The 25,143-nt window shown below is 50.0% G+C and overlaps 1 protein-coding gene and 1 long non-coding RNA gene across 2 annotated transcripts in view, besides 3 other annotated features; one reads left to right on the forward strand and one right to left on the reverse strand.

Moving 5' to 3' along the window:
* Window positions 1-25,143, reverse strand: part of SLIT1 (slit guidance ligand 1) — a 187,922-nt gene that overhangs the window by 91,994 nt on the left and 70,785 nt on the right. The window lies entirely within an intron of this gene.
* Window positions 673-1,290: an enhancer, noted in NCBI's record as "H3K4me1 hESC enhancer chr10:98850461-98851078 (GRCh37/hg19 assembly coordinates)". NCBI's record gives its function as "activates a minimal SCP1, AML or CMV promoter by ChIP-STARR-seq in primed H9 embryonic stem cells {active_cell/tissue: H9 hESC(primed)}" and the evidence as "EXISTENCE:reporter gene assay evidence [ECO:0000049][PMID:30033119]".
* Window positions 10,370-11,234: an enhancer, noted in NCBI's record as "H3K4me1 hESC enhancer chr10:98860158-98861022 (GRCh37/hg19 assembly coordinates)". NCBI's record gives its function as "activates a minimal SCP1, AML or CMV promoter by ChIP-STARR-seq in naive H9 embryonic stem cells {active_cell/tissue: H9 hESC(naive)}" and the evidence as "EXISTENCE:reporter gene assay evidence [ECO:0000049][PMID:30033119]".
* Window positions 11,235-12,097: an enhancer, noted in NCBI's record as "H3K4me1 hESC enhancer chr10:98861023-98861885 (GRCh37/hg19 assembly coordinates)". NCBI's record gives its function as "activates a minimal SCP1, AML or CMV promoter by ChIP-STARR-seq in primed H9 embryonic stem cells {active_cell/tissue: H9 hESC(primed)}" and the evidence as "EXISTENCE:reporter gene assay evidence [ECO:0000049][PMID:30033119]".
* Window positions 12,725-13,716, forward strand: SLIT1-AS1 (SLIT1 antisense RNA 1). Its single transcript, NR_038330.1, has 3 exons — window positions 12,725-13,079; window positions 13,289-13,460; window positions 13,555-13,716. It is a non-coding gene; the product is annotated as an SLIT1 antisense RNA 1 (long non-coding RNA).

Below are 25,143 nucleotides of genomic sequence, written 5' to 3' on the forward strand. Positions count from 1 at the left end.
ATGTGTCTGTCACCAGCATCCTCGCCGCTGCTGTTCATCCAGGCCCTCTCCATTCTCAGGGCCGGACCACGGGCTTAGGCAGAGCAGCAACCAAGGCAAGGGAGCTCCATGCTTCCATCCCAGTGGGGGAGCCAAAAACCACCCACATGATTTCAGAGATGGAGGAGTGCCGTGAAGGAAACAGAACAGGAGCAGGATGGAGAGGGAGTGGGAAGCAGGGGCCCCTGCAGCCCGCGTGGTTGGTGGGCTTCCCTGTCTGTCAAGGGAGAAACGAAGTGACAAGAAGCAAGCAGCCAAGCAGAGTCCTGGGAAGAGCGTCCCAGGCAGAGGAACCAGCAGGCACAAAGGCCGTGAGGTGGGCAAGAGCTGGAAGTGTCAGGGAATAGAAAGAAGGTGGTGGCTAGAGCCATAGGCAGGGACTGGGTCACGGAGAGCCTCGGAGGCATGGCTGGGATGTGAGTTGGACTCAAAGTGAGTTGGAGTGTATTAGCAGGAGAGCAGCAGGGTCTGGCTGATATTTTATAAGGAGAACTGGTTTCTGGGAGGCAACTGGATTATAGGGTGTTGGGGGGGGCAGTGAAAGCAAGAAGCAACCCTCTTAACAGCCTTAAGAGGTAAAATTTTTAAGATGAGGACACTGAGCGCTGCCACAGGGTGGAAAAGGGCGGAAGAGGGTGCCACCAACAGCTCCCTTCACTGAGTGCTTGCACCACACCAGGCTCTGCACCTTGGCGCTTTCACAGAAGAGGTGAAATTGCAAGCCCCAAGTCGTCCAGCGGGTGCTGGGCCCTGGCAGGCCCTGGCTGCTGCCTCCTAAGCCCACGCTCCATCCATGAAAGTGGCCCTCTGCTAGTGCTGAAGGGGGTGGCAAGCAAGCCCCTGGGGCAGCCCCGGTTCTCAGTATGGCGGCAGAGCACATCTGCCCCTGCCTCACTGCCCCAGGAGGGGTTTGTTCAATGTCACAGGCAGTGCTGGAGGAAAAACTACTTTGTGATACACTTGAGATCATTCGTTGACATCAGCTGAGAAGATAGCTACTCTGTTCACTCCGGTTTGATATCATTCTATCACCTATCCCCATACTGAGAATTTGCCTCTTGCAAAAGGCAAGTGCTATGGATTCAAAGCACAGATTTGATTTTTTCCATTTCACATGAACTTTGCAGCTGCATCTGAAAACCAATTAGTGTGGATGTGCTCAGACACGCTCCATGCACCACTCCTGCCATCTTCTCCCCTGGAGAGGGGCTTCTCCTCATGTCTTTCCGTGAAGTGAGCCAGGTTCCTTAGGGGACTCACCTTTGTCTCACTATCCACTACTGATTAGGGTCTGTCCTCTGTGCAGTTACACACGAACTTGTAGATTTTTGTGTGGTAGAGTTGCAAATCATTACTGTCTGGTAGAAAAAATAACCTCAAGGTTTAGTTTATTAACCATGTCCAACATTAACCAATTTTGTATTGAACTTTGTAGTTTTATTTCAGTGTTCCCTGTCTTTCACTGATGATAAGCTCTCAGCCCCCCAAATTCTCCTTGAAACAACTTTACCATCCTGCTGGTCCCTTCATTCATGAATTAAATGTAAACTTTTGGCACATACCGCTTTATATTTGTATGACAGTCACACTTCTAGCTCGTTTACAGTCATACTTTGAACATGTTTTTATCTTCCTTTTGCAAATGAGAACACCGAGGCTGAGAGAAGTCAGGTTGCTGGCTGAAGTGCACAGAGCTCGTAGGAGCACAAACAGGGCTTGGACCCCCCTCTGTCCAATGCCAAGCCCATAGGCTAAGTGCCCTTGCAGTTCCCAAGTTGAAAAGAGCCTTAGAAATGATCTAAACAAGCTCCAGTCTTTTACAGGCCAGAACTAACTCTGAGGCCAGGAGTGGCGAGAAGTCTTGCTCACAATTCACACACTAGTAAAGGACAAAGGGCAACCTTGGCAGAAAGGAAGGTTTTCGGCTAACCATTGCCTCATCTTCTTACATTTATCTCAAGTTTTTGCTCGAACCAGGCCACCCACAAGGAGCAAGAAAGACTAGCACGCAGTGACATTTGTGAAGGCTTGCTGTCAAGGCAGCTCTGGCACAGGTCACTGCTGAGATTGTCAAGCAGGGTTCTGAGCTGGGGCCCCTGGAGGCTCTGAGGCCTCAAGAGTGGGCTGCCCAAGGTCTATGCAGCCCCTAAAACCATGTGCAAATTGTGCATATGTGCATGGTGCATCCGATTCCCAAAAATGTCACATATCCTGCTTTGAGAGACTGTCTCTAGAAGGCTCCAGTTAGAAGCAAATGAATTAACTGGGAAGAGACATGCACTCATCTCCAAGCACTTGCATAGGTTAGCCTGCTAAAGTGGGCCCAAGGATTTGTGAATATGAGAACAATGTGATTCAAAAGTCAGCCTTTGGGGTATCTCATAGGTCAAGCACCTGAAAGCCTCAGAAGCCATAAGAACATGTGTGAGAGGCTAAGGCCCAGAGACCTATATACCTACATGAATGCTATTTCTGGTGGCAAAAGAGCAGCCAAGGTCCAGAGGGTCTCACCCAGCACAATGGGACTCTCCCCATGAAATATCACCTCCTTGAAGCAGGGATTCTTACCTACTGTGTTGCCAATTATTCCAAGCTTCTGGAAGAGAGACTGGTGTATAGTAGATGCTCAATAAATATTTCTTGACTGGATGAGAATTGTCTAAGAGAAAAGAAATATGCCACCAGCTGGTGATACCTATAAAATCCATGCCAAGGGCAAGACCCAAAAATGATAATAAAAATAGGAGTAACCAACACCTACTGAGTCCTTTGCAATGTGCCAGGCTCCGTGCTAAGTGATCTGCATGCCTCCCCTATTTATTCCTCACAACAACTCCATGAGGCCACTGGACTATTGTTGGCTTCATTTCACATAAGAGGAAAGTGAGGTTCAGAGAGGTTCTGTGATTTGCCTAAGGTTACACAGCTGGGAGTCCAGTCTACAACCTGGACCAGGTCTGCCTTAATCCACATCTTAACCACTGTACAAAAAACTGCCCTCCCTGGATTCACTGGAGAAGCAACAGAGGGAAAACCAGAGGAAAGAGAAAAAAACTGTAAGGTGGTGTGAGAAGAGGGCAGTGCGGCAGCCAGAAGACACAACCTGTGTTGCAAAGCTCTCCAGAACAGCTTTTTTGAGACCCTGGGAGGGCAGTGGATAGGGGAAGGGGAAAAGCAGCAAGATGTGGCAGAGGTTGCCAGGTGTTCCCAACCAAAATCCATTCTCCCCTTTTTCCTTCTTACAAGAACTGTGATTTGATGTGGCCACCCATGTGCCCAGATAAAAATTACATTTCCTACTTCCCTTGCATCTTGGAGTAGCCAAGGCTTAAGTAGAAGTTGCTGAACAAAAAAACTTCCAGAAAAATCTCTTTGAAGGAGGCTGACTCAGTTGGGAAAGGTGCCCTTCCTTCACTACTTTCCTTCTTCTTCCTGCCTAAAGCCCATATGAGATGGCTGGAGCTCCAGCAGCCATCTTGAACCATGAGGTGACCTTGAGGATGGAAGATAAAGCTTAAGAATGTTGGAGCAAAAGATAGAGGGGTCCTGGGACTCTGACTCCCAGCTGACTCTGGAGCTGCCATACTGTAATGTGAGAGAAAAACTCCGATATCTTAGTTTAAGTCATCTTTTTGAAAAGTTTTTCTCTTATGTAGAGCCAAACCCAATTCCAGCGGGCACAGAAGTCACCTTTGAGGAAAGACCAGCAGAGCTAGCAGTACCCAACACTCCATCTGCAGAAACACCGTCTTGCTAAGGCAGGTGGAGGATGTGCAGGCACCTGTGGGCCTGACCACAGCAGAGAAGCAAAGTCCTGAGATGAAGAGAATAGGGCCTCCCTCACAGCCACACTTTCCCTTAGGCTGGTGACAAGGGAGAATTAGGACACAAACAAGAAATGGCTGAAATGTGAGTGAGTGCTAAAGAAACTAGCAACAGCAAAGATGGGCATTTTCAGAAGGTGACAAAAACCACCTAGGGAAGGGCTGACCCAGTGCTAAGACTGTCATTCACCTTCTGGAAAGGCAGCTAGGTCACCCTGCCCCCAGAGGACCTCCTGTGTCCTACGTAGAAGAAAGGCCAAGGCCAAAAAGCATGTTGACCTGTGGGAAGAATTCAAGGCAGCTAGTACCAGAGCTCGTGCTGGAACCAGAACCTCCAGGGCCACTGCCAGGCCATAGGGGACCTTTGTGGGAATTAGAAAAAGGCATCCCTTCTTCAAGATACTTCTATTTATTTGGAAATTGTCTAAATAAATGTGCAAATCTACATCTATAATGAGAATGGTGTCCTTTAGAGGTGGCACCCTTGGGCAGTGCACATCCTGAGCAACTGAACACAGTGACCCTGCATAGCTGTCTGATCCCACCATGCCTCCACCGACTGTATGGCTCCAAAACTAGCCAAATTCTATGCTCCTAAGGATGTCTCAGCCTTATTGATGATTATGTGAGGCCATGTGGCCCCTAATTAGGAAGACAGGAGGAGTTTCCACCCTAAAAAATGATACAATGTCGAGTTTGGGCACCTGGGTTAAATAGTATTCATAAGAGGAATGCAGCTGTGTGGAGCAGGTGACGGCAGCACTAGGACCAGAAATTGCCTGGTGTGATAAGCATCGAGCACAGTGCCTAGGGAGAAATCAGAGTCTAGTAAGAAGTCGGGGAATGCATCAATCTATGACAAAATGAATGAGGGCATGAATATCTTTGAATTTTTTTACAATTAATTAAAACTACTTTATGTCATCTTATCAGTTTTTTCTCCCCTTGGGTGGAAGGAAGAACTTTTACAATTTATGGAATTATTTTAAACAAATAAACGCAAATGAGCACATCTCAATAAATGATGTAATTCTCTGCTTTAATTCTCAACTTTAATTCTCTACCCTACCCCTGTCCCAACTGCCAGAAAGAGAGAGAGAGAGATAGGCCAGGTGCAGTGGCTCATGCCTATAATCCCAGCACTCTGAGAGGCCGAGGCAGGTGGATCATCTGAGGTCAGGAGTTCAAGACCAGCCTGGCCAACATAGTGAAACCCCGTCTCTACTGAAAATACAAAAGTTAGTCAGGCATGGTAGTGGGCACCTGTAGTCCCAGCTACTAGGGAGACTAAAGCAGGAGAATTAGTTGAACCCGGAAGGTGGAGGTTGCAGTGAGCAGAGATTGCTCCAGTGCACTCCAGCCTGGGCAACAGAGCAAAACTCCTTCTCAAAAACAAAAAAAAGAGAGAGAAAGAAACCCAATTAAACTGCATCCATGCTTTCCAGCCAGAGTCCAGTTGCTGACCTCACCACATCCTAATGCTATTCTTATGGACCAACCACTACTTCCCATGGAAGGTCCCTCTTCTTGGGGCTTCCCAGGGCCTTCCACACCCATTTTGCACCTTGCTTCCTTGCACAGCTTCAGATGCCAACTCTGGGACAAGCGGGGAGAAGCTAGCATGTCCCAAATGAAAAAAGGGATAGGACTGAATCCCGTGCCAGGGAGATTCTTAGTGAGAACTGAAGTCCACCCAGATATACCGATTGGTCCCTGAAGCTATTCCCCCTGGTTAGAAAAGCCACCATACTGCAGCAGGAAGAGAAGTAACAGCTGCACTTGTTGAACCTGCGTCTGTGCCCAGCTCTATGACGGACATCATGTGGATGGAAAAATGCTCCAGACCCCGGTTCAGAGGCCCTCGTTTCCTGCACCAGGTGTGTGACCTTGGGTGCGACCCTCTGCCACTCTGGAATTCCACGTCCCCATCTGAAGACACAGACGCTATCATCTCTAAAGCAGTGTTTCCCAGCCACTAATGTGCACACAAATCCCCTGGGGACTTGTTCAGATGGGCAGGTCTGGGGTGGGCCTGAGAGTCTGTGTTACCCCGGAGGCTGATGCTGCCAGCCAAGGGCACCCTTTGAGTTGAGAGGTGCAAGGTCCCTCCCGGATCTCACCTGGGGCTGTGCTTCCTCCCCAGTGGCCAAGCAGAGAAAGAATCTCTCACCCTGAGTGAGGCTGGCAGCTGTCCCCCTACCCCCTGCCTCTGCCCTGGTGTGCCAGGCACTCTGATTTCAGGCACCGTTAGAATTTCAGCCCAGCAAACAAAACAGCCAGCTGCGGCCCGAGCTTAGGGACCCAGACCACTGCCTTCTGCTTTTTCCTTTCCAAATGAAATTTGAGATGTCACTTGTTTTTTTAATCACAAAAAAGGCTGAGAAAAGAAAATAAGTATTTCCTTCGTGTCTGTCTCTGCTTCCTGCCCCCACTCACTACTTGCCAGAAACTAGGCTTGACATCCTCTCGCCATCACGCCCTCGAGCCCCCCCGCCAGCGCCCTGTTCCCTCAACCCCTCCTGCCCTCCCCACCACTCTCTGAGCGCACCTCTGGCAGAGCTGCCTTGCCAGGCTTATTTTTAACAGCTCTGATTGAAGCCGGGAGCCCGCTGACATTTACACTCCCTCATGATTATCAGCTCGAAGCTTCCAGCAGCCAAGCTAAAAAGGCTTCACGGAGCCCGAGCAGGAGGGGCCAGGAATGAAATGTCAGCGGCTCCTCACTCCCACCTCTTGCAGGGCTGCTTCGCCACCTGCCCACAGCACAGCCCACCCGCCCCAGCTCGACCCCGAGAGAGGGGAGGCGGAGAGCCCCCTTCCCCCAGCAAACCCAGAAAAACCCAGGGGCCAGCGGTTTTCTCACTTCTAGTAACCACATTTTCTCTCTCAAGAATCAGGGCACGTGGTGTGATTTAGAAATGCCTGGGTGTGAAAAGACTCATAGAGGCAGAAAAATTAAATCCCATTTAGTTTTGTATTTAATGAGAGCCACCAACAAGCCCCTCCTGGGTGGCTTTATCCTCATTTGGACAAATTTAAACCGCCCAACCAGCTGTCTGCCAAACGTACAGCCTTCCTGCTCCTCTCTGGAGTTCTGTACCATCCAAAGCTCCCATTTTTTCTCAGGGATACTAGGAAGGCAAGATGAGAGTGCACAGCGCCTGGCACCCCAAAAGAGGCTGACCCTGCCTCCGGGCTCCTCACTAGCACCCGCCTAGCCTAGGCCAGGCTCCCACCCAAGCGCCTCCACGTCCTGCACACACACTCCTGCGTCTAACACTGCAACCACATCTCATCCCTACAGCTACTACGCTGATGGGCCTGAGAAAGAGGATCCCAGAGCATGGAGTGCCTTGATGCTTTGCTGTCTCAGGAGAGATTCACTGTTGTGTTTTATGTCTGCTAAGCAAGGTCAGAGTTCATGGGAATGCATCTGGCTCATTTGGAAACTTCACTTGTAGAAGGTCTCAGAGACCACTAAATAATTTACTCCTGGGTCATGGAGGAAATAATTTTTACAGAGAAAGCATTTCCAACTCAATGCACTAAAAGGTCACTTCATTAAGACGGTGGCGGTGGGGTGGGGGTTTAGAGGTGAGAACGATGCTTCTGTGGGAGGAAAAACTAGCTGTTAAAAGCATAGAAAGAACAACCACAGTTTAGATTTCTTTCTTTATCAAAGACGTCTTGCCTTCCCTATGTGGATGCTAATACAAAAGCAAACAATCTAAAACTTTTGGTAGTGGGTGTTTTTTAAGTCTCAAGGAGCCCCCTCCAGGAAGTCTTCCCTGACTTACTCCACTCTGATCATTCGTTCAGTTTGCTATACTGCAGCCCTCTGCTATATGTCCTGGTCTGCAATCTGCAGCCCCAGGCAAAATATTAAATTTCTCATTATTTCCACTATTCCAGGAAGGCCTTCCCCAGCCATACACAATCTGTGGGCAGCCATCAGTCCTCGTACTTCTCTGCCATGCCCTACAAAGAGAGATGGCAAGCTGTGTTTGCTTTGTTCAGAGTGCTTCCTTTCACTTCCACACGTACATTTGCAATCACCAGCCTAACGATTTTGTTAATGTTATCATGTTGATATTGCCATTTCAAATGAATCAGCAAGCCCAGTTTATAGTTCAATCTGCAAAATTCTGATTGCGCTGCCAGCTACCAGGGTCTGGCAAAATGAATAGCCTTGAACCATCATAGCTGGAACCACTATTCCCCAAGTGCCTTCCACAGATGGGACAGTGGTGGGGTTGTGCAGGGAATGTGAACGTGCACACAGGCATAGCCCTGCCCTAAGGAATCCTGAGAAAACAGTGACCGGGATGACCCGGGGGGCTAAGAGTTCTGGGGCTCTCGCTATGGGCCGGACATGTGCTGAGTACCATTTTCTGTTCACAAAAGTCCTACTGCTGCTCCCAACTCAGAGCTGGGGAAGACAGGCTGAGGAAGTGGTAACTGGGATGAAGCCAAGCTGCTAGGCAGAGAGGGGCAGGGGCCAGGTTTTCAGTCAGAGAAGACACCCCTTGGCTGGAGGGACCTGGGAGACGTGAGGGCTTCTAGGGGTACGGTGAGGACTTGGCGAGGCAGAGTAGGTGAGCAGAGGCAGGAAGCCCAGCGTGTGCTGGGGCTAGAACTGAAGAGCCTGGTGGTCCAAGTGGTGTGCACAGAGAAACAAGCTAGGAGGTGCCTGGGCTGGGCAGGTGCCCAAGGCCTTTGAATGCCATGTAAGGGAGGGGAACTTGAACCCACAGCCACAGGACCACTGAAGACTTGAAAACAAGAGCGGATCAGCGTGGTGTCTCAGGAAGATGACACCTAGCACCAAGTAGGATGTCTGGAAGAGGGGAAGGGCAGAGGAGAGTCCCTCACGAGGCCACAATAGTCCTTAAAGCACCAGTGATGGGGCTCCCAATTCCCAAATGGAGGGATCTGACTTCCCCCAGAAAGGGACAATGCCTGGGGGCATGGAGGGCAGGAGTATCACGTGGCTGTCAGTAGGAACTCTGGAGTTGGCCTCACCAAGTGGCCCTGGACAGGACACTCAGCCCCTCCTGTCCCCAGTTTCCTGAGCAATAAAGCAGCAGGAAATGAGACCAGGTCCTCAGGCAGGGATGTTAGGGGACCAAGGGAGCGAGCGTGTGTGACTTGCCCAGCCAAGCACCTGGTTCTCAGTGCCCCTCACCATTGTTAGCTGCCATGATTAACGTGAATAGCAACAGGAGGTTGGAGTGGAGGCGCGGGGGGTGTCCAGTTTGGGGGGATGCTGTGACTGCCCCTCCCTCAGGCCATTGGGAACGTGAGACAGGACGAAGAGAGGGGCCAGGGCTTGATGTGGGGATTCCTGGGGAAAAGGGAAGGCTGAAGTCACAGGAGGGCCTGAGATCTCAGGAAGAGTCCCAAGGAAGAGATGCAGGCAGCACAGGCACCACCGCACCAGGCTGGCCTGCCTCAGGTCGGCCACCCAGAGCAGCAGGCTCAACACAGCTGAGTGGGGCTGCAGCCACCTCGGAGTTTCTAAAAGTCAAAATTGCACAAAGAGAAAAAGACTCCAGGTTGGGGGGGTGGGGGACAGCAGGCAGTGGACAGGAGGAGAAGCTCCTGGATCTGTTGTACATCTGGGTAGGTGTCCATCTGTCTGTCTCTGGCTGCTGCTGGCTCACCTAGTGTCCATCTCTGCCTGTGGCCTGGCCCCCTTTCTCTGCATGTGTACATACGTGTGTGTCAGGTGTGCAGGGAGCGGGGTGCTTCCAGTCTTTCCTTTCACTTATCCTTTTCGAGTAAATCCAGCTTGATGGTCCCCTGCCCTGACCTAGGAGCAGGGAAAGGCAGTCCCAGAAGGAGAGGGAAGCTATGGTACCTTCTCGCCCAGGGGAGGCCAGAGACCCCGGGCAGTGCCCCCGCAGTGTCTGGTTACCATGAAATGGAATTTATACATGAAAATCAGGAGAGAAGCCAGCCCAGGGCACACTAGTCATGGCTGTGACAGAACTGACAGCTAATTAGAAGGCTCCATTTGAGCCTCACGTTGAAAAGCCATTTAATAATTAAATGTCTTATCTGTATTTAAAATCTTCTGACAATATATACTTAGAGTGTGGCCAGAGAACCAATTTTCTCACTTCCATCACCCTAGAAGACATAATATTTGAATCCAGGCATCTCCCCATTGACAATAAGTGACATGATGTCACACGATTTGAGTCAGGAAGTGTTCTAGTGTTGGAGACCCTTCCTGCTGGCTCTTGGATTGATACAGCACAGAGACTTTGACTCAGAAACATGTTTGACATGAATACGCCCCTTCCCAAGTCACTGAGCTGGGACCCGGCATGCAGGGAGTGGATGAGGGGACCATCAGCCCCGCAGGGAAGGCACAGCAGGAGTGGTTCACCTGTGTGCAGCCAGCAAGAGATGCATTGATTGTACAGCAATAATAAAATTTTTGGCCGGGTGCAGTGGCTCATGCCTGTAATCTCAACACTTTGGGAGGCCAAGGCAGGAGGATCACTTGAGGCCAGGAGTTCAAGTCCAGCCTGGCCAACATGGTGAAACGCTGTCTCTACAAAAAATACAAAAAAAAGAAAAAAAATTAGCCAGGCATGGTGGCACACACCTGTAATCCCAGCTACTCAGGAGGCTGAAGCAGGAGAATCACTTTAACCCGGGAGGCAGAGGCTGCAGTGAGCCAAGTCGCATCACTGCACTACAGCCTGGGCAACAGCGAGACTCTGTCTCAAAAAAAAAAAAATTGAAACAATAATTGTTATTCATTCATTAAAATAATGACCATAACAATAAAACCAATAATAAAAGTCAGTTCATTTTCATTAGCATCACACATCGGCAATTTTAAGGCATGTCAGTGATACAATACTGCTCCCCACCAAGGAGGGGCTCCCACTGCCACCCGTTGGTACGCCGCTGCCTCGGCCTTAGGTGACCACAAGGGCAAATGCCCTGGAAGCCACAGGGCTCCCTGGCTTGCTCAGGGAGGGGAGGAAAAGTGCTGCTGCGTATTTCTAGGGACGGTGCAGACGCAGGCCGGTTTGGGCCCCATGGGTATAGTCTGCCCACCTACAAGAGCAGAAAACAGTAAGGGAATGGACCTCTCTGTGCATCAATGAAGCTGAACCCCTTCCTGCTGGCACTGAGCCCTTAACGTTGCCAGTGTCCCCAAGGGGACTGTGGAGGCCACCCAGCACTAGGGAGGGAGAGTAAATCCCAAAGGCACATTCAGAAGCCTCGCAAGGAGACCAGATACAGGTGGAAGAGAGTCATAGGCCCCCCTGGGGACACAGATGGAGTGTCTGCAGAGGAGAATAGAGAGGGAGTCACCAGAACCAGCTTCCTGGCTCCTCTTCCTATTGGATGGAGCGCTCCTCCCCAGACAACCCAGAACACTGCTGCACTCACGCCCAGGACAACCTCTCGGGGAGCAGAAGGCTGTACTTACCTCTCCCCTCCTGGAAGCAAAACTTCTCTAGTTTCTCTTGCCAGCCAAAGAACCCCTAGTGGCGGAGTGCTCACACAAAGGAAATCAGACCCTGGGGGAATTTAAACATGAACATGTTCAACCCTCTCTTCTGGCAGATGACAAGAAAGCCCAGAGAGGTCAAGTGCCTTCTCTGGACTCACGCAGCTTGTTAGCTGGTGCTCTTCCCATCGCCCCCGCCCACCTTGCTGCTGGGAGCAATGTCGTGTCACAGAGCCATTGCAGTCAGCAGGTTATGGGTTTAGGGCCTGCCCTCCTCTGATAGCTGTGCCAGGGAGGATGTGCTGCACATGCCTCCTGGCCTCAGACAGCAGCCTGGACTGGCTATGAGCAACCAAAGCATGGCCCCTGTACCAGGCAGCACCAGCCCTGCTCTGGGGGTGGATATGAGTTTGCATGTCTGGTGTGTTGAGCCACAACGCCTCTTGAGTCACAGTCAGTAAAACTAAATATCTCTCCCATGGTCTGATCACTGTTGGGACTGGCCTGGACTATCATTAAATTCAGGAGTGTCATGGATCTTGGAAAATACTAATTGCTCCTAACCCAGCTGGGATCCTGCCCTCAGGGTGATCCCTATTTTCCTGGGATCAAATGTCACTTCTCAAAGGGTGGTCGTGGACCGGCAGGGTCAGCCTCACCTGGCAGCTTGGACGAGCAGAATCAGGCTCCTCCTGAACCTACTGAATCAGGACCTGCATTGACACAAGATCCCAGGGTGATGTAGATGCACGTTAAAACCTGTGAGGTGGCCGGGCGCGGTGGCTTACGCCTGTAATCCCAGCACTTTGGGAGGCTGAGGCAGGTAGATCACCTGAGGTCAGGAGTTCAAGACCAGCCTGGCCAACGTGGTGAAACCCTGTCTCTACTAAAAATACAAAAATTCCCAAGCATGGCGGCGAGCACCTGTAGTCCCAGCTACTTAGGAGGCTGAAGCAGGAGAGTCGCTTGAATCCAGGAGGCGGAGGTTGCAATGAGCCAAGATTGCACCATTACACTCCAGTCTGGGCAACAGAATGAGTAAGACTCCGTCAAAAAAAAAAAAAAAAGAAAGAAAGAAAGAAAAAAGAAAAAAAAAAGCTGTGAGGCACTGCGGGGAGGCACTGCAGGGACACGCAAAGGTGACAACCTTAGAGACTGCCAAAGCTCACTCTGGACACCATCAGAGGCCATCGCAGACTGTCCTTCACAGGATGTGTGTGTGACATGCTGCCATGATCACTCTGTAATAGTGTCACGGGGTGGATGGGGGAGGCCTGGCTCAGCAGCAGCTCAGGGTACTGAGTCGTAGATGACAGCAAGCTCAATGTGCACTGTTGTGTGATGTCACAGTGCAGCCACCAGGTTGGGAGACCTGCTTATATACAGTGTCCAGGGAGCACAAGGCCTGGGGGCCCACAAACCTGGGTCTGTATGCCCACTCTTCATTAGCAGCTCCAGGACCAAGTGCGGTCAGTTTTCTGGAACTCGTTTCCATATCTCCACTGTGATGTAAGGATGTGCATGGATCCTAAATGTGAGAAGCTGGCAATCACCAGGTCCCTGGCAAGTGCTCAGAGTCTGAGCTACCATCAAAATCAAGGGCACAGGGGGAAGCTAACTGCTTCTCTGAATACTCTAAGGGAGGCAGATCTAGGCCAGGTGACCAGGGTTTACAAGTCCCAGGACAGCAGGTTGGGCTTGGTGCACGGAAGAACTGATGAGCAGCTTCACTCATGCAGGTGAGACCGTATGGGCAGCTCTCCAATAGCAAGCGTTCAGCAGGGATAGGTGCGAGTACATCAGGGAGTCCAAGAGAGGGCTGGCTGCATGCCTGGGAGGGGCAATGAGATGGGGAGTCGGGTGCTTCCTCATTTCTGCTGCTGTAAGGTAACGCCACTGGCCTTCTCCAAGATCCAAACAGGGTCTCTTGCTTCCCCTCTCTTTGCAGCAGGACAGATCAGGACAAAGCCATGCTGGAGTTGGGGCCACACATCTGCTGAAAACCCCCAACACTCTTTTTCCCAGCAGCAGCTTCCAAGCAATTCCTGAGGCCCTCCCACCGGCTAACCAGAAAGGAACCCACCATTGGTCTCCTTAGTAACGACTTCCAAGGCCCCTTGGTGAGGATTTTAACAAGCTTCCAGCTCTCTCCCCAAACTGCCTAATTTTTACAACAATCAGACTCCTTTTTTCTTCTCTAAACGTTTATTTTAGCACATCTGAAAAGCGCACAGTGTGATTTCCAGACCCAAGTTAGACAGCGATTTCTTCAAAGTGCAACGCCCTCAATTAATGAACCCTCTGGGAATGAAGTACCTTCTAACAAAAACATTGTTCAAAATAAAGCTGGAAAAAAACCTCACACAGCCCCTAGGACAGAGATGTGAGTGTTGTTGCCCAGTCACAACCATGACAAGGCGATGTGGTTACACGGTAGGGTCAGAGGTAGGCAGTCTCCAGCCATTCCCAGCAGGTGACCTTGGCCAGTTACTTGACCTTCAACTTGGTTTCCTTGTCTGCAAGATGAGGATGATGACAGGCAACTCCCACGGCGGGAGTGCAGACTGCAGAACAGTCACTCATGCAGTAACTACCTGCTGAGCACCCCTGTGCATCAGGTGGCCTTGTTCCTGCGGCGGGGATACAGCAAGGAACACAGCCCTGCCCCGTGGAGCTCATATTCTGTGGGGTAGCGGGTGGAGGTGAGTACTACAGAGAAGAATCAAGCAGGTGAGGGGTAAAAGCACTGGGGGTGCCGAGTGGGAGTTACCTTTTTCTAGGTGGCAGGGAAGGCCTTTGATCAAAGACCTAAAGGAAGAAGGGAGTGAGCCCCATGGGTGTCTGGGAGAAGGAGTATTCTAGGCACAGAGAACAGTCAGTGCCAAGGTCCAGAAGCAGGAATATGCTTAGTGTTCATGGAAAAGCAAGGAGTCCAGGGTCGCTGGAGTGAGAAAGGGGAAAAGTAGTCAAGGGTAGGGACTTTGGATATCACTGTGATGAAGCAGTAGCCATCAGAGGGTTCCAAACAGAAGAGTGACCTACATTTAGAAAATGATGCACGTAAGGCAGTAGGAACATGCCTTGCATGTAGTAAGTGTTCAATTAACATCAGCAACTGTTATACACCTCAGTTTCTATCCGGTCACTCCACACACAAGCAAATGTACGTGCCCACTCAGAACCCTTCAATAACACCCCTCTGCCTACTGACACATCCCAGACCCTTCACTCTTGGATGCAAGCCCCTGTAACAAGGCCCAATCCACACCTCCAGCCCCCACCCCACCACACGTGCCCAGCTACAGCCTCCCTCTCCCTGAATCCACACATCTTCCCTCGTCTTTGCTTTCACCTGTGCAAGTTCCTTCCTCCTCTCAGCACCTCCTGAAGTCCTACCCAACGTCACAACCCATCTCAAAGGCCACCTTCTCCATGAATTCATCCCTCATGCATCCCCAGAGGGATGTCATGCCTCCCACGGATGGCCAAGCATGCTGGGTCACTCATGGATATATCTCATCCTTGACGCTGGTCTCATCTCCCCAGGAAACCCCACCTCCCACCCCTGTCACCACCCGTGAGATGGTGACCTACCAAGCTTATCTGCGGGGCTTAGCCCCGGTGCTGAGTAGGCCACTTTTAAATTCAGCTGAATAACACCAGTAAATGCACGACTCCTATTTGGCCCCCTCCATGTGACAGAGACCTGGCCGATACTCAGCCAAGATGCTGAGGGGGCAGAGCTGGCTTCTTCCAGTGTCCTAGGGACCAGGATAATTATAAATAGAAAGAAGGGGGGCATGCTCCTTCCTTAACATAAAAAAGTCAGCAGGAAAAATAAATCTGATGACCACTCAGTTCCATTCACCACCGTCTCTGAACATAGATGCAGGTAAGTTATTTGACAAGATAAAAACAGGTCATGATAAAGAAGATGAGGAGATTCAAAAACACACACAAAAAGGCTGAGCGGGGCTGCCTGGCCACACTCAAGCTCTTGCGTCTGCAGAAAGGGCACCTTGCACACATAAATGAGGCCCCAGGAGCAGCAAGAACCAGATGAAAGGGAACCCAAGGCCCTCCTTGCCAAGTCAGTGGCAGGGAGCACTCTGGCTACATCGCAGGGGCCTCCAGTGACCGTGGTGTAATGAGAGCAGAGAACATAAATCACCATCCCTGTCTTTACAGAAAACATATTAAAGACTGCTGAACTCACACATGATTTTCTGAAGCGGGCAGAAGAGATGGCAGATCAAACCGGGGTCAGAATCTAGAAGATGACTGCCTAACCAGATGTGGATAAATCACAGGACCACAGGGCATCTCCGCAGGGTCTTAATTAAGGAACTTGAGGTGAAAATGGGGCCAGGACACATGGACATTGTTAGCCGTGGCCCCTCTGGAGGCCACAGGTAACAACATTTCAAGCCATTTCACCAGGTTAGCCTCAGCCCAGACCAAAACAGAGAAATTGACCAGCCAGAAAGACAACCATACCCGGAATCTGGTCCGGAGGCCTCCGCCAAGGGCACCATCAGGTGGATGCCAGGAAAGGCATGCAGGAGGTCAGGATATGGGACAGAACCTCTAGGCAAGAAGGTCCCGCAGATGGTACCCATGGTGGGCATCCACCGGTTTTTGTTTTGTTTTGTTTTTGTCTGCAGCTTCTGCTCACCCTACTTCCCAGGGACTTCCCAGTGGTAACCCCAGTTTTGTCTGGAGATCCGCCCCTCCCCAACTCTGGTCTTGTGGTCAGGTGGAGATGACCAGCTCCAGGGCCAGCCCATCATTTGCCTGGCCATGGAGTCTAGTTCCAGATGGAAACAGAATCCCATCAAAGCCATTATGATGGTGTGAGACTTTTGAGGCAGAGGTTAACGTCATTTCTGGGGGACTTGGAGGTAAGGCAAGGTCAGAGCTGGAGCTGCTGTAAACATCTTGGGACATGAATGAAGAACGGGAAAATCAGAAATGAGGCCTATGTGGAAGAGACTAGGGGAGGGAGAGAGACAGAGAGAATGAATGAATGAATGAACGAATGAATGAATGAATGAATGAAGCCTGGGCCCTCGTAGCATCATTTGAGCCCCTGATCAGGCCTCATCTGACTCAGGTCTGCCAGACTGCAAAGGAAGGAAGCTAATCGGTACTTAGTGTTTATTGCCCAGTGCAGCGCAAGTGTTATTTCATTTAGTCCCTGCAATAACCCTGGGAGGTAGGCTTATTTGGGGGAAATCTTTATTTGTAAATAAGGAAACAAATTAAAGTTGTTTTTTTTTTTTTAAACTTGCCCAGTTAGGTCATTCACACATGGTGGAGACAGGAATCTACAGACCAGGGATCAGCCCCAAGGCTATGATCTTTGTGCTGCGCCGCTCTACCCCTGAGCAGACAGGCCAGAGGTCCAGAGAGGGCTGTGCTGGCAGAGTTCATACTTTGATAACTGAACCCTAGAGTAAGCCTGCCCTGGAAATGCCAGCTCAAGGGACTGACAGGCATAATGCTCTTTGGGAGAGAAATGCCACATCTGCAGCGACACGCATCCTAACACTGTCCCAGGACTGGGGAACCAGCGGAGGAGCAGCTGATAAATGTCAAGGCACACAGTAATCCTGGGTAATCCATTCAGAGCTGGCAGTAATCTAAACTTTCTGTACAGCAGTGACTCTGAGCTATCAGTCACAATGCAAGAGGGAGCCTTGAGGGTCCTCCAGGATGTTTGCCAAGGGCACAGGCCCAAAGCCAGAAAAGGTACCCAACAGGGATACCATCAGGAAGAAGTTGGAAACAAAAGATAAAGCACTCTACCTGAGGGAAGTACCCCAGCTGCAGGGGCCTCCTGGAGACATGCTCACCTGAGCTGGCTCATGTGCTGCTGAGGCTGGATGGAATGGCACATGGCAACATGCTTTGTCAACGGTAACGTGTTGTTATTTTAACTCTATGCTTAGTTTGTAAAGACTCACTCCCTCTCCTTTGTTAAATAAAACCCTCATCTCATCTCTCCCGGGGTAAGGCAGGGCAGCTGGTCAAGGGATGCCACCTCTATTCCCTGGGCCTCCCCTTCTCCCCAGAAACCTCGCATCTTAACTGCATCACACGAGACCCCAGAGCTCTGCTGATTCCCCTTGACACTGGAGCCCTTTTGGTCATGGACCAATTCCTGTTCTCAAAGACCTTTCTCTTTAAGCCATGGAGGACTACTTGAAGAATACTAAAGAAAAACATGCCACCATGCCCAGCTAATTTTTGGAAAAGGAAATTGCAAGGAAATGCACAAGCAGCTTCCCCAAAGGTCCGGCTGGGAAAGCTCAGGTCCTGCCTTGCTGAGGCCCTGCCAAGGCTCAAGGACCCTGCCCCACCCCCACGTGCTGCCCTTTGAGCTGTGAGTAGGGTGGAAGACAGGGAACCAACCCATGGGGCCAGCTTCCTGGGGAGCTCAAGCAGGAGCCGGGCTGGGGACAGAGAGGTGCCACTCCCACTGCCCACCAACCACACTCGAGGCCCATGTCACCCACACAAAGGAGGAGAAGACAAACCGAGGGGTTGCTAACCTGTGGGCAGGACCAGCAGTGCTGCACAAAGAGAGATGAAAGGGGTGAGGCTCCGGTCCGGGGGCAAAAAGAATCCTAAGAGACACACACACGTGCCCAGCTCTTCCCTGCCCCGGGGTGTCTGCCCCAGCGTTCACTGCCTGAGCTGCCCTCCTTTCTTCCCATCTTCCCTCCCTTAGGAAGTCCTGTGACCCCTACCATCCTCCTCCTCTGTAGGGCTGGTTGTGCCCTCCCCTGGGGTGGCATCAGCACCCTGTGGGCACCTCTGTGAGGACCTTCTGGAAGGTGCAGCAGGGGAGGTGGGTAGGAGGGTAGGCTCTCCTTGCTGCCTGGGTTTACATGCCAGCTTTGCCACTTCCTTTGTCACTTTAACCACATCACTTCACCTCTCCGTGCCTCAGTTTCCTCCTCTGTGAAAAAAGGAGAGTAACAGTGCTGAGGAGTGAATAAAATAGTTCCCAGGAAGCGCTTGGCTCTTGCAGAAAATGTGAGCTTTCATGCTTTTAACTTGTCCTTTTCCTCCACCAAATCGAGAGTTCCAGAGGGCCCAGGCTCCGTGTGTCTGCAGTGCCCCCAGCACACCCCAATATCCACCTCCCCCATGGCAATGGTGGAGCAGCCACCCAATAGGGCCCTCACGAAAGGCCCAACATGGCATCGGCTGGTGGTTAAGAGCCACATTTGGCCAGGTGTGGTGGCTCATGCCTGTAATCCCAGCACTTTGGGAGGCCAAGGCAGCAGATCACAAGGTCAGCAGATCAAGACCATCCTGGCCAACATGATGAAACCCTGTCTTTACTAAAAATACAAAAATTAGCTGGGCATGGTGGCATGTGCCTGTAGTCTCAGCTAGTCGGGAGGCTGAGGCAGAAGAATCGCTTGAACCTGGTAGGCAGAGGTTGCAGTGAGCTAAGATCGCGCCACTGCGCTCCAGCCTGGTGACAGAGTGAGTCTCAGTCTCAAAAAAAAAAAAAAAAAAAAAAAAAAAAAAAGCCACACTCGGGACTCAGTGGTCCTGAGATCACACATGGGCCCAGGGTCGGAGTGCAGCGACAAAGGACAAGTTCCTTTACTTCTTGAGCTTCGGTTTCCTCATCTGTAAACATGAAATAAAAATTACAATCTAAAAAAATAAATAAAAAGCCAGGCATGGTGGCTCACACCTATAATCCCAGCACTTTGGGAAGCCAAGGTGGGAGGATCGCTTGAGGCCAGGAGTTCAAGACCAGCCTGGGTAACATAAAGAGACCTCATCTCCACCAAAAAGCAAAAGAAAAAAAAAAAAGCCAACCTCACAGAGTTACAGTGAGAAATAGATGAAAAGACATTTCAAGAGCTTAGCACAATACCTGACACTTAGTAAGTCACAATAAATACAATGGATTTGTTTTTAGCGATAATGATGCCCGCACTCCTATCTGTAATGAGTAGAGAGTGCTCTGAGACCATCTGCAACCTCAGCTACTCTCTCCAGAGGTGCTTAAAGGAAGAAAGTAGGGCAGAAGGACTGCCTCCAAGATGCTCAGGGAGGAGAGGTGATCAGAAGAAGGTTCTGGAAACATCCCGACAGGAAACTTTCCCAGCGAGAAGCTGTGGGTTCCTGCCGCTCCATGCATCTCTTGCTCTCTCTAACTCTGCCATCTTCCCTCTTCACCCCATTAGCCTTGTCAAACAGAGAGGAAGGGATGAAACGATGGAGTTTGGATATTAACATTTCAAAGTAAATACTGGAAGAGTGCTGCCTGAGCCTTGGAGTGGCAGGTGCACAGAGGAGGGGTGAGGGGCGGGTCTGGCGTGTGTGCTCTCCACAGCTTTTGTGCCTGATCAGTCATCTCATTTCCCTTCTGTAGCACATTAAAGAGAAACATCGCCGACAAACCTCTCAGTCCCTGCCAAGCTGCTGGGTGCAAGCTGAGCCAGCGGGCAGACACAGCCCAGTCCTCCTGGCTCTTCTCTTGCAAACCTCCATTAAATGGGCCAGAAATTGAGGGGGAAAGAACACTGTATTCAGCTCAGTTTACTCATATACCACACCCAGGCAGTAGTTAGGACAGACCCTTAATGCCTTCCCAGAAGGGCCCAAACAGAGCAAAGGATCAATCCCTTATTCATTGACCCACTGTCCACCCAATAATCACTGAAACTAGATTTTACTTTTAAAATATTTGCTGGCTCCTTCTCTGCCTGTCATGGAATGAGGACATTCTGTGCCTGGGAAGAAGGAACAGAAACAATTCCACGGCTTGAAACCATATAGAGGTGCCAGCCCTTCACTCAATGCCTAATCAAAACAGTTCCGATGACAGAGCCTCTCCTCATAGGCTTTACATTTGCAAAATGATTTGCTAAGACCAAGTAGAGTTGATGCACGTGCCCATGACCTAGCAATTCCACTCCCAGGTATTCACCGAAGACGCTCTCCCAACTGTGCACCAGGAAGCACCTGCCAGGATGTTCCAAGCATTATTTGCACGGAAAAACCTGAAAACAATCCAAATACACACCAAAAGGAAAGTGGGCAAATCGTGGTAATGCCACATAATAGTGAAAAATGCATGAACCACAGTCCACATCATCATGGATGAATTTCAGAAATGTAATACTGAGTCCAAAAAAATAAAAAATAAAACCAGCCTCTTACAAAGGAATATACATAGTTTGGTTCCTTTATGAAAAAGTTAGAGAATAAGCAAAAGTTAAGCTAAGGCTTACATATATACATCTATGTAGCAACACCAAAAAGGAAATCAAGGAAGTTATAAACACAGAAGTCAGTAGAGAGGTTCCCTCTGGAGCTGAGGCTGGGGTTGGGTTGGAGAGGGAACGGGACCTTCCTGCAGCTTTGCTACGTTCTTTTGCTTAAGTTTGGTGGTGAATTCATGGATACTCATTTTATTATTATGCTTTGCCACTAACATATACATCAAGACACATTCTAAATTTTCTTTTGTTATCAAAAAATCATTTCTAAAGCATTATTTTCAAAAAGAGGGTTGGCTGGGCACAGTGGCTCATGCCTGTAATCCCAGCACTTTGGGATAAATCACCTGAGGTCAGGAGTTTGAGACCAGCTGGCCAACATGGTGAAACCCCATCTCTACTAAAAATACAAAAATTAGCCAGGCCTGGTGGCAGGCACCTGTAATCCCAGCTACTCAGGAGGCTGAGGCAGGAGAATTGCTTGAACCTGGGAGGCGGAGGTTGCAGTGAGCTGGGGTCGCACTACTGCACTCCAGCCTGGGTGTCAGAGCAAGACTCTGTCTCAAAAAAAAAAAGAAGAAAAGAAAAGAAAGAGGGCTGACCCTAATATAGGTAAGGACATCTGAAGGCAAAAAGGGACTCCAAATGCTTCAGACGCCCAGCCAAGAGTCCGAGTCATTAAAAACCACAGAGACAAATGAACAACAATAATAGCTGTATTCACTGAGTGTCCATCATGTCATCTACACACGCTAGAGTCTACAGAGATTATTCTAATTCTCACAGCCACTATGCAAGATGGGTGTCATTATAACCGTGGAAACTAAAGCTCTGATAGGTGAAGTGACAAGGCCAGGGTCATCAAGCTGCTCCCGCCGCGGAGAAACCAAACATACCCTGTCTGTCCACGCCTACAAAGACTGCGTCTTTCCATGATGCCAAGCAGCCTCTCAAATATTTATAGACATAAATGGTGAATGAACCAAAGTGCAATTCAATCCAACACATATTTATAAATATTTATAACCAAATGTTTTGCTTTGATAATGCCTATTCTCTGAAGCGCCTGGCGTCAGACAAACAGGGCTTTTGCTGCTGGAGCCTGCTGCAGCTCACCTGGGAGCGTTCACTCGTTTCCATGAACACACACTTCTGTCTGCGCTCACATCCGTACCCAGATGGCCCACCACCCTGTTACTCATCGTCTTCAATTTAACACACCGTGAAAATAAGACTCGGGTGTCCAGGGACCACAGGATGCTGTTTGTGAGGGAATTTGTGCCTCTCTGCTGCCTAAAATCTGCCAGAGGCTCCCCATCACTTTCAGGATTAAAGCCAAGCCCCTCAGCAGAATGGCATGTCCTGGCTGAACGTGCCGAGCTTGCCCCTTCCCACTCACACCCGCACCCTGACCTGACAGCTCGGCTCCATTTGCGGGTTCTCAAACTTATCACGTTCCCTTCGCTGTCCAAGGCTACACAGGCTGTTCCCCCTGTCCTTCCCTTCGTCACCTCTCTCTTGGCCTAGCTAAGGTCTCCTGGACCCTCAGAGCCCAGCAGTGATGCCCCCTCCTCTAGGGAGCCTCTGCCAAGCTTCACTGCCAAGCTCCACCACTCCCTGACAGAGCGCCCTGTGATACTCACCCCTCGGCATCCACCACTCCCTGACAGAGCGCCCTGTGGTACTCACCCCTCAGCACCAGCTCTCTCTGTTTTCTTCTCCATCCTCCCATGGTTCTGAGCTCCCCTTTCCGCATCCACAGCCTGTAGGCTGGGAGACATGAATTCAGAGCATGCTATAAATAAATGTGTGTGTCTCCTGGGCCTCAGGTCCCAGGACCACATAAAGCAATGGGCCAGGACAGATAATCCACACTCATGGGCAGGACCTGTGCTGAGCCTTCACAGCACTATCCAATTTGATCTTCACAACCACACTATGAGGTACTACCATCCCCATTTCACAGATGAGGCAATTGAGATTTAGAAAAGTCCAGTATCAGGAACAAAACCACATAATCTGTAACCCAAAACTCTTTGGTTCCAAAGCCCATGATTTGTTATTAATTTGTTTTTTGTTTTGTTTTGTTTTTTTGAGGCAGGGTCTCACTCTGTCACCCAGGCTGGAGTGCAGTGGCACAATCTCTTCAACCTCTGCCCCTTGGCTCAAGCAATCTTCCCACCTCAGCCTCCCAAGCAGCTGGGTCCACAGGAACATGTCACTGTACCCAGCTAAAGTTTGTATTTTTTGTAGAGACAGGGTTTCACCATGTTGCTCAGGCTGGTTTCAAACTCCCGGGCTCAAGCAATCCTCCCACCTCGGCCTTTCAAAGCGCTGGGATTACAGGCATGAGCCACCACGTCCAGTTATTAAATGTTTTAAATAAGCAATTGGATGCCACTAGAATCTTGAAATCAGAGGAATTTAGACCTGAAAGGTATCTTGGAAAGCAATATCAAATTTAGTGGTCATTTTTGTGTCCCTGATCATTTTTTCTAATCATCTACAAAGATGCATTAATTGATTATAATTATATATAATTTGATATACAGCCTCTTGCAACGTCAAAGGATTTTCCATCTGAATCAGCTCTTCTGAACATTTTTCTTTCTTTTTTTGGGTTTTGTTTCTGTTTTTGTTTTTGATATGGAGTTTCAATCTTGTTGCCCAGGCTGGAGTGCAGTGGCACTGCAACCTCTGCCTCCCAGGTTCAAGCGACTGTCCTGCCTCAGCCTCCCAAGAAGCTGGGATTACAGGCGTGTACCACCACACCCGGCTAATTTTGTATTTTTAATAGAGAGGGGGTTTCACTATGCTGGTCAGGCTTGTCTTAAACTCCTGACCTCAGGTGATCCACCCACCTCAGCCTCCCAAAGTGCTGGGATGACAGGCATGAGCCACCATGCTCAGCCCCAAACATTTTTCTTTTAGGTTTTTTTTTTTTTTGACGGAGTTTTGCTCCTGTTGCCCAGGCTGGAGTGCAATGGTGCGATCTTAGCTCACTGCAACCTCCGCCTCCTGGGTTCAAGAGTTTCTCCTGCCTCAGCCTCCTGAGTAGCTGGGATTATAGGCATGCACCACCATGCCCAGCTAATTTTGTATGTTTAGTAGAGACAGGGTTTCTCCATGTTGGTCAGTCAGGCTGATCTCGAACTCCTGACCTCAGGTGATACGCTCGCCTCGGCCTCCCAAAGTGCTGGGATTACAGGCGTGAGCCCGGCCTCTTTTAAGATTTTTAAGGTGAATTTTATGGATCTTCCAAAGGGTGGCCTGACCTGGTATAAAGACATGCCCACGGTCACATGGAGAGTCTTACTACACTCCCAGGTGGGGCAGGGGTGGGAGTGAGGCATTGAGGGGAAGACATCCACCCCGCTACCAGGTGCCTGAAGCCACTCCAGCTCTCCCAGCCCCTCAGGATACTCAGGGACTGTCCTAGCAAGGCAGGAAGTGAGGACAAGGGACCTAGCAAAGGAGCACCCACCTGCCCAGCTTCTGACCACGTCACAGTGTAACTGTCTATGGTGGTAATGTTACAAGCCAGGGGAGCAAAGGACAATTCACCGCAACACTTAGGTTCAACATGGAGCAGCCACGGAGGCCCTGAGTCCTCTCAGAAGCACCGACTCCCACTCTGGGGCCTGCCTAAGGGAGGCCAGCCGGTGGAAAGGGAGCCCAAGTGAACATAGAAACAGCAGAGGGAATTATTGCACATTCTGAAGTCTTCCTAGTAAGATCAAAAGTACAGGCTGGGTGCAGCAGATCACACCTATAATCCCAGCACTTTGGGAGGCCAAGGCAGGAGGATCATTTGAGGCCAGGAGTTCAAGACTAGCCTAGGAAACAAGACCAGCCTGGGCAACAAAAATTTTTTAATTAATTGGGTGTGGTGATGCACACTTGTAGTCCCAGAGTCCCAGCTACTCTGGAGCCTGAGGTGGGAGGATCAGTTGAGCCCAAGAGGTTGAGGCTGCAGTGAGCCATGACTGCACCACTGCACTCCAGCCTGGTGACAAAGTGAGACCCTGTCTCAGACAGAAAAATAAAAAGTCCAAAGTAGGTGATGGAGTCATCTACCTGGATACTTAGGGTCATCCCTTAGCTCAAGGAAGAGTCCTAAGGAAGCTCGTCTCCCTAGCCTTCTCAAATCAAAAAATAAAAATAAAAATCCAAGCGCTCACTAGCTGTGTGATGTTGGGCAAATTCTTGGCTACTCTGAATTTCAGTTTTCTCCTCTATGACAATGGGGATAATAATAATTCCAGCCTCATAAAGTTGTTGAGAGGATTCCATAAGATAATGATGGAAAACCCTTAGCACATGATAAATGGCACCTCATGCTGTTGTGACGATTCCTGCCATTACCCATGACAGTCTCTGCTGTCTGTCTTGTTCACCATCAGTGCCTGGTGTCAGAGTAGATGCTCAGCAAATAGCAGTGACCTGGCAGAGCACAAAAGGGTCTTTCCCATTGCGACATCAGAGGCCATGTGAGCTTCAAGGAAACATTTGGATCATGTAGTTTGAAGGCTGGCCCAGTGCAGGGGCC

This window comes from Homo sapiens, chromosome 10, assembly GCF_000001405.40.
Source record: "Homo sapiens chromosome 10, GRCh38.p14 Primary Assembly".
Lineage (NCBI taxonomy): Eukaryota > Metazoa > Chordata > Mammalia > Primates > Hominidae > Homo > Homo sapiens.